This window comes from Homo sapiens, chromosome 17 (assembly GCF_000001405.40).
Source record: "Homo sapiens chromosome 17, GRCh38.p14 Primary Assembly".
Taxonomy (NCBI): domain Eukaryota; kingdom Metazoa; phylum Chordata; class Mammalia; order Primates; family Hominidae; genus Homo; species Homo sapiens.
Window position 1 is genome coordinate 55,121,349 of NC_000017.11, and position 8,695 is coordinate 55,130,043.

The following is an 8,695-nucleotide window of genomic DNA, read 5'->3' on the forward strand; positions in this document are numbered from 1 at the left end:
GAGGTTGGGGTGAATGGGAGATAAAGGAAAACTGTCATAATTGAAAAACACACTGAGAGAGAGATGAGATGCAAGATTGAAACATCTCATTATGTCATTATGAGCAACCACAATCTTGAGAAAATATCTCTGTGAATTATTAACTATGTACCCAATTGTGCTGATACCCTAGAATCCCCAGGGTCTCTGACATACTTATTTCAACAAACCTGGTAACCTTAATATCTTAATTAACCTTAATCCACTCTTCTGTTGTCTTTTTGTTTTTGTTTTTGTAATCTATGGCAGACTTGGTGTTTTGCCCTAGCCAGCCTGTTGTATTAGAAACTGTAAAGTCAGACAGTTGCCCTCTCAGGGGTAGCCTGCCTCACAGAGTGGCCACCCACCCCAGTTCTGGTCAATGAGTTATAAAGTAAAGTCTGCTTAGAAACTTCTGCTTGGGGAAACTTTTAATTAATGGATAAGGACAGATGGAGCTGGGACCACCTCTTGTTCTTTCCTGCCTTCAATACGAATATGTTGCCTATAGCACTGGGGGCTTTTTACGCCCCCAAGACGAAATGTGTAGGGATCAGCCACTTAACACCTAAAGGATACTAGAGTAGAAAGATGAAAAAACCTGAGACCTTCATGCTGTGTCTAGCAACCTTTAGGCTCCTTAAAAATAAATACCTATTTGTTTTCCCAGCTACTTGGGTTATCTGTCATTTTTACCAGAAATCATTCCTAACTAATATGCCACATTTTTTTCTAAATCCCTCCAGACAATATTGCTTTTTAAAAAATGTTGAAGATGTCTTACTTCTTGGGACATAAATCCTCAACAAACCGTTGTTAAACGTTTATTATGCACCAAAGCCTGAGCTGTGTACCAGAAAATGACACAAAGATGGATAAAACATAGTCATTGTCCACAATCATGTTTTCCACAGGAGAATGTTAAGTGCTGTGATAGAAACTGGTACAAACCACAGAAGTACCATAGAGGAGGGGAAGATGAAGTCAGCCAAAGAAATTAGGAGAGTATGCACAGAGGAAGTATCATCTAAGCTGATTCTAGATTGATGAGCAGAAGCTCACAAGGCAGATGAAAAGAAAGAGTAACTCTAGGAAGAGATAAATGAAGGAATGGAGTCTATATTGTACAAATGCAGAGATAAATGAAGGAATGTGGTCTACACTGGCAAAAGCAAAAAGTTGAGTTGGAACATTTTATGTTTACTTTATATCAGATATGGCTATATTTAAAAATGAATTCAGATTTTACTCCATGCAGTTAATTTTATAATTAATAGAAAGCAGTCCATTTAAATTCCATCTAGTTTGAATTTATAAAAATTATAACAAGAAGCACTCAAAAGTTTAGATTGTCAACTTACATATTGAGATATGTGTCTATGTGTGCTAATGGATGACTTCCAAAGCAGATTAAAATATTAAAATTATAAGGGGATTAAAGTAAAAGAAGAAACTTTTAAGTGCTTTTGAAGCACTCTTTTATAAATAAAGTTTTGAGTTACAAGTATTTTATCCAGTCATTAAAATATATCCTTAAAGAACATTATCTCAAATCAAAGTGTACTTAAAAGTAGAAAACCAAATTTTTTAATTAGAAAATCTTTTAGAGATTTTGCTAATTCCTCCTTTGTTTTATTCACATTTATGGGAGTTTATATTCCTTGTAAATGTGTTATCCCTCTCCTTTTTTGTCATCAGTTAAAGCAGACACACAATTTTAAGAAGAAAAGTATGCTCAAATTTTAATCTCAAAACTTGATTTGCCCAGAGAACCCCAAGATCTAACCTAGTAGTTAGATAAGTTCTTGCCAAAGTACTTTTCATATCAGGATCCCTAAACATAGCAGCTTTTGTGTGTGTGTGTCCAGTAACTTGTTAAGATAATTCAATAAAGGGGAAAATTTAAGGGAAGAGGTAGCAGAATTGGTGTCTGGCTTACTTGGTATGATGGACTGCATCAATTAAACCAAATCAATATGTCGAAATAAAAATGGACTATTTATAATTGCATGCAGGTTTTTTTCCTGAATTAATCAGAAATTACTATCACTGGTCAAATGAGAGATAATTCTCATATTTCCTAGCTTCTTGTTATATAGGTTTCTTTACTAAGTGCTGCCAGACGAAGAGAAGAGATAAAAGAGTTGCAATGTAGAAATTAAATATTGTGTTCTAACGTTACAATAATGGACTATATCTGACTGCAACAGCAAGCAGCAATGAGCAACAACAACGACAAATAGAATAGGATGGGCCAGGTGCGGTGGCTCATGCCTGTAATCCCAGCACTTTGGGAGGCTGAGGCGGGCAGATCATAAGGTCAGGAGATCGAGACCATCCTGGCTAAGACAGTGAAACCCCGTCTCTACTAAAAATACAAAAAATTAGCCAAGCATGGTGGCCCGCGCCTATAGTCCCAGCTACTTGGTAGGCTGAGGCAGGAGAATCGCTTGAACCCAGGAGGCAGAGGTTGCAGTGAGCCGAGATTGCACCACGGCACTCCAACCTGGCGACAAAGCAAGACTCAGTCTCAAAAAAAAAAAAGAAGATAAAACGAGAAATATGACTTGAAACTCTAATGCATAATACACTTCTAACTGTACTTAACACCTCCTAATTTCTATTAATACCTTTTATTTGATAATGATTGGTTGCTATAAATCTAGGCTATGCTGGATTGTGTCAGCCTAAGATATGACAAGAAGGTCCCAAGCCAGTCACCATGGAAAGATCTTATCAAGGGTGTTTAGGTAAAAGGGACAGTGAGGCCCCATGACACCATGAGAAGAAATAGGAAAACAGCATTATATGGGGACTTGGGAGAATGAGATGGAGGTCCAAATGATAAGACAGGCTGTGAGGTTGGAAGATGTGCAAATTGAGAAAAGATGAGCAGAGGTTCATGATGGATCAGAAAGCTTAGTCTGCAAATAAAAGATATGTGTTCAGGCCTTACTTTTGCATGGTACCTGTTTACATGCTGTTTTGGAAGGCATGACCCTTTAAAGGCATTTGCAGAATAGACTGTGATATTTATTAATAGTTATATATAAACATTTTAAAAATAAGGTAGGGAATACAATGAGATTAAATGGTTTTAGAAACACTGTTTGCCTTCCAGCCTCACAATGGATCTGCTTCAAGTGCTACATTTATCCTTCAAATTTATTTTTTACTGCATTGATTGGTAGATTTTGTTTTTCTGAGTTCAACCTCTTTTAGAGAAGAATATGAGTTTACCTTTACAGTGTAGTCAGACTGAAGTAATTCTGTCAAGTAAGTTGATTTAACAGTGTGCAAAATTTGGATCCATTTTTATTGCTGTATTTGCTCAGGCTGCCATAACAAAATATCACAGCCTGAGAGGCTTAAACAACAAAATTTTATTTCTCACAATTCTGGAGACTAGAAGTCCAAGATCAAGGTGGTGGAAAAGTAAGCGTAAGCTTCATTCGAGATCTCTTCTCTTGGCTTGTAGGTGACTGCCATCTTGCTGTGTCTTCACATGACCCTTCTTTGTACATGCACACAGAGGAGGGGTGGGGTGGCTCTTGTCCCTGTTCTTCTGAGGACACTAACTTTGTGGAATCAAGGTCCTACTCTTTATGACCTCATTCAACCTTATTACTTCCTTAAAGGCCACACCTACAAATGCAGCCATATAGCAGGGGTGAGAGCTTTACCATAAGAATTTTTAGAGGACAGAAACATTCAGTTTATACCAATACTAAACTGTTAAGCAGGTGGTAATTAATCATTGAAAGTTAACGTACAATTTATTCATGTGTGAAAGAAAGGTCTGAGTGCAGCATTTTATACTCTGCACAGAAGCTGCTCTTTTCATTCAGCATTATTGCAGAATGACATAGTGGATGATGACTAAAGTAGAAGTTAGATTACTATGTTTTCCTCTAATTGACTCTATGGCAAAGCTCTGAAACCATTTTTGGTGTCAGTATCCAATTTGTAACATGAGACAATTAGAGGATTTCTAAAATCTCTTTTCACTCAAAAATTCTATGCATCTGAGAGTTCCACTTCCAGTAAGGCTAAGTAAGTTCCTGACAGACTAACCATCCTGCAGAAACCTATTGTAAACCCTGGACAAAATACAAAAAAAAAAAAAAAAAAAAATACAATTGAAGCTTCTGGAAAGTGAATATGACCAGGCAAATTCTGGAGATCTGTCAAAACTTGGAAGAAGGACCCAACATAGGATAAGTTTCCTGTTTGTCCTACTTTTAGATTGTTGGCAGGACCCAGGGCTGGGACTAGGATAAGGCAACAAGGTACCCTGGGTGCACCTCCCTCTTAAGGAGGCTCAGTCTCAAGTAGTGACCCTGAACTTGCATGAGCCTGAGGGAGGGTGTTTCCTTAAATTTTGTATGTAGACACTACTTGCCTCACTCTACTCCAAACCCTAGCAGGACACTTAGAGTGGTAAAACTGATAACTTGCAGTCTTTCTGGCCTATAGAACTAGCATATGAAGTTTGGGACAACTGGAAAGGCAGAGGGGAAATCCCGGAAAGAAGAGCACTGGAGACAGAGACCCCCAAATTCTGCATATAAACTCTGTCCAAGCTTCTGGGTCTGACCCCAAACTACACAAATATAGGGCGCATTGCAAACCACCCAGCAAAGGGGAATGGGGAGGGAAACTGAACTGAGGTTTTAGCTGCTGCCTAAGAAATAGAACTTACTGCTTGAGTCCAACCAACTAAATGACCTGCCAAAACAAAAAGATTAACATGCTTCAGAGTAGTGTAACAGAATCCAGAGTTTTTACAGTATAATGTTTATAATTTCCAGAAAACAATCCCAAATTACTCAGTGTGAAAACAAAAAACAGGAAAATGTAACTCATTCTCAAGAGAAAAGACAGTCAACAGATGCCAACCTCCAAAAGACCAGATGTTAAAATAAGGACTTTAAAGTGCTTGTTATACCTACATGCAATGAAGCGAAGGAAAACATGCTCATAATGAATGGAAAGAGAAGATCTCTAAGCAGAGAAATAGAAATAATTGTGTAAAACTAAATGGAAATGCTAAAAGTATAATACCTTTTAAAAAATCAGAACAGTTGGCTGCCTCTTGGGGCACAGAAGTAGAAATAAACAGGAATGGGATATTTCTGGGGTGGTGGTAATATTCTATACCATGATTGGGGTTTGGGTTGCACAGGTGTAAGCATTTGTGAAAATTCAGTAAATATACACTTAAGATTTGTACATTTCATTGTAAGCAAATTTTACATCAAAAGAAAGAATTTCTGGATAGATCTCCCAACTGAAGAAATCCCTAAATCAAAGACCTGCTAACAGCTAGACAAGGAGATTCTGGTGCGTGACTGTTGTCTCTGAAATCATTCCAAAGTGCTTACTGGGTTTCTATATTCCATAGTGATGAGCATTGCAGGTAGAAGGAACAGTATCTGGAAAAGCAGAGACGAAAAGAAGTCTATAGCATGCTCCAGGAAATAACTCAGTGGATGACATTAAGTGGGACTGACACAGCATAAAGATGAAAGGAAGATTGCAGCCATTTTGTAATGGGATTTCTCATACTGCAGCTTTTTTAATGGGATTGCACATACTACTGGTTCAGGATATTTCCCCTGCTTTTTAAAATTGAGATATAATTTACATACAATAAAATGTAAGTGTACAATTCACTGAGTTTTGACAAATGTAGACAGCTGCATTATACTACCACCATCATGCCCTAGAATATTTCCATCACCTCACAACCTTTCCATGTGCTCCTTTGTAATCTATTCCCTGCCATCCCTTGTCCCAGGCAGCCCTTGATTTGCTTTCTATCACTGTAGTTTTGCCTTTTCTGAAATGTGGAATAAATAGACTATTAAGTTTCTAGCTTCTTCCACTCAGTGTAGGGCTTTTGAGATTCATCCTTGTATGCGTAATGTTGAGTGGTATTCCATTATATTGTTATGCCACAGTTTATCCAGTCACCAATTGATGGATCTTCCAATTGTTTTCAATTTGGAGCTAGTATGAATAAAACTGTTGTGAACATTCAAGGATGTGACTTTCTGGGGATGCATGTTTTCAATGGTCTTTCAAGATTATTGAAAACATGGATTGACATATGTTAATCCATCCATGGATGGATTTAAATGATTAAATTTTTTGAGTGATAAACTATACAGTCAGAACCTATATTCTTTGCAGAAGAGAAAAAGCAAAATTGGGGTCACTTTTATTTAAGTTTATAACTCTTTAATGTAATGATTATTGAGTTATCTAACTTCATGAGAGCTATTATTTGAAAAAATAACCCTCTATGAAGGTGTTTTTATTGTTTTTCTTTAAATCTTTTTAAAAACACATTTAAAATTTTCAAGCATCCTCTTAAAGGCAAATGTCTTCAGGGATTTTTTATGATTTTTTTCCACATTTTACCTGAAAGTAATGTGAGATTGTTAACAGATTTTCAGATAAACTTTTTTTAATTTAAAGGACAAAGATAATAACAACAAATGCTACATGATTAGGGATCAGTGGTGTTTAGAGTTTCATTATGTATGTTCATTTATATTCAAGGTCGGAAACAGCAATGATCTTGACTTCATTTCATCTAGTCTGTGACAGCATTTCTAAAATTGTATGTCTATTGATCCTCCTTACCCTGTTGTCAAAATCCACAAATAACAGTTGTACAAATATTTATAAGTTCCCCTGGTGAGTACAAAGACCTCATAACAACAGTAAAATTTCAAATATGTGCAAGATTCACTAAATCATCAGTCTTCATGGGAGGCAAATTTCTACAGTCAGTCAACAGATAGTTCTTGAGTGCCCACTATGTGTGAGATACTGTCCTGAATCTGGGTCCCATTATACCAGATCTCTGACAGTAGACATTCAACAAATGAAAGTCAAAAAAGTGTTGAAGTTTCTGGCAGATCCAGAGTCTGGGCAGGTAAGGAGGGAGAGGCACTGCTGAGAGTGTTCAGGAAGTTACCACGCTGGGTGAATGTGAGGGAGATTTTAACCCGTTGTACCAGAGATTGCTTGGATGAGATTCCAAATCAGATTGAGAGGTGGGGTCTGGAAATTTGAGTCTACCACCCCCAAACCCACTTTACCTGCACAACTTTACTGTGCCTAACTTTGGCCTCCTATAATCCCTTTTATGTATCTCTCTCTTCCTTCTTTTTAAAATATAGTCGATAACTGGACACAACTATAAGATTTCATAGTCCTTTTGTTTGTTTGTTTGTTTGTTTGTTTGTCTGTTTGTTTTGAGGAGTCTCGCTCTGTCGCCCAGGCTGGAGTGCAATGGCACGATCTTGGCTCACTGCAACGTCCACCACCTGCTGTCAAGCGATTCTCCCACCTCAGCCTCCCAAGTAGCTGGGATTACAGGCACCTGCCATCATGCCCGGCTACTTTTACTATTTTTGTAGAGACGGGGTTGCACCATGTTGGCCAGGCTGGTCTTGAACTCCTGACCTCAGGTGATTCGCCCTCCTTGGCCTCCCAAAGTGCTGGAATTACAGGTGTGAGCCACTGCGTCCAGCCTGTAAGGATTCTTTTTTTTTTTTTTTTTTTTTTTGAGACAGAGCCTCGCTTCCTTACCAGGCTGGAGTGCAGGGGCACAATCTTGGCTCACTGCAACCTCCATCTCCTGGGTTCAAGTGATTCTCCTGCCTCAGCCTCCTGAGTAGCTGGGACTACAGACACTCGCCACCACACCCGGCTAATTTTTGCATTTTTAGTAGAGACAGGGTTTCACCGTGTTGGCCAGGATGGTCTCGATCTCTTCACCTTGTGATCCGCCCGCCTCGGCCTCCCAAAGGGCTGGGATTATAGGCGTGAGCCACCGCTCCTGGCTGGATTCTTTTTTTTCTCTCTGCTCTCTCTTCTTACCTCTGGCTTCTCATTCTCCTGCCTTCTTTCTTCCCTTTTCCCCTCTTTTTCTTTGATCATTTTCTCTCCCTCATTAACTGACCACAAGATGAAATAGAAAACTATTTTTTTAATGTTCCAGGTTTATTGGGAGAAAATGTTTATAATCCCATGACAAAAAAAAATAAAGAAAACTAAAATTAAGGTAGGTGCCATGGCACATGTCTGTTGTCCCAGCTATTCATGAGGCTTGAGGCAGGAAGATCCCTTGAGCCCAGGAGTTTGAGTCCAGCCTGGGCAACACAGGGATATTTTATTTCTCAAAAGAAAGAAAGAAAGAAAGAAAAGAAAAGAAGGAGGGAGGGAGGGAGGAAGGAAGGAATCCTAAAATTAGTTAAGTTCTTTTTATTTTTATGTAACCTTTGAAATATTTTTCTTAGTTACATTTTCCTTCCTAGAAACAACAAAAAAGTGTCCCATCTCTAATTTAGACATTGTATAAAATAAATAATAGGAGCATTGTGGTAGGCAGAATTCTCAGGTGGCACCCATATTCCTGGTTCCTGGTGTACACACACCTTCTGTCAGTTATTTAACCAAATACTAATCTAGGTGCTGCTGTGAAGAGATTTTGCATATGTAATTAGTTAACCTTAAGACAAAGAGATTATCCTGGTGGGCCTGACCTACATGAGCCTTTAAATCTGAATCTCGAAATCAGAGACAGAGAAGTCATATTAGAAATATGTAAAGGACTCTATGTGTCGCCACTTAAGATGGACTGAAAATGGAGGGGTCACAT

The 8,695-nt window shown here is 38.3% G+C and overlaps 1 protein-coding gene across 8 annotated transcripts in view; it reads left to right on the forward strand.

Annotated features, from left to right (window-relative positions):
• Positions 1 to 8,695, forward strand: part of STXBP4 (syntaxin binding protein 4) — a 244,509-nt gene that overhangs the window by 152,584 nt on the left and 83,230 nt on the right. The window lies entirely within an intron of this gene.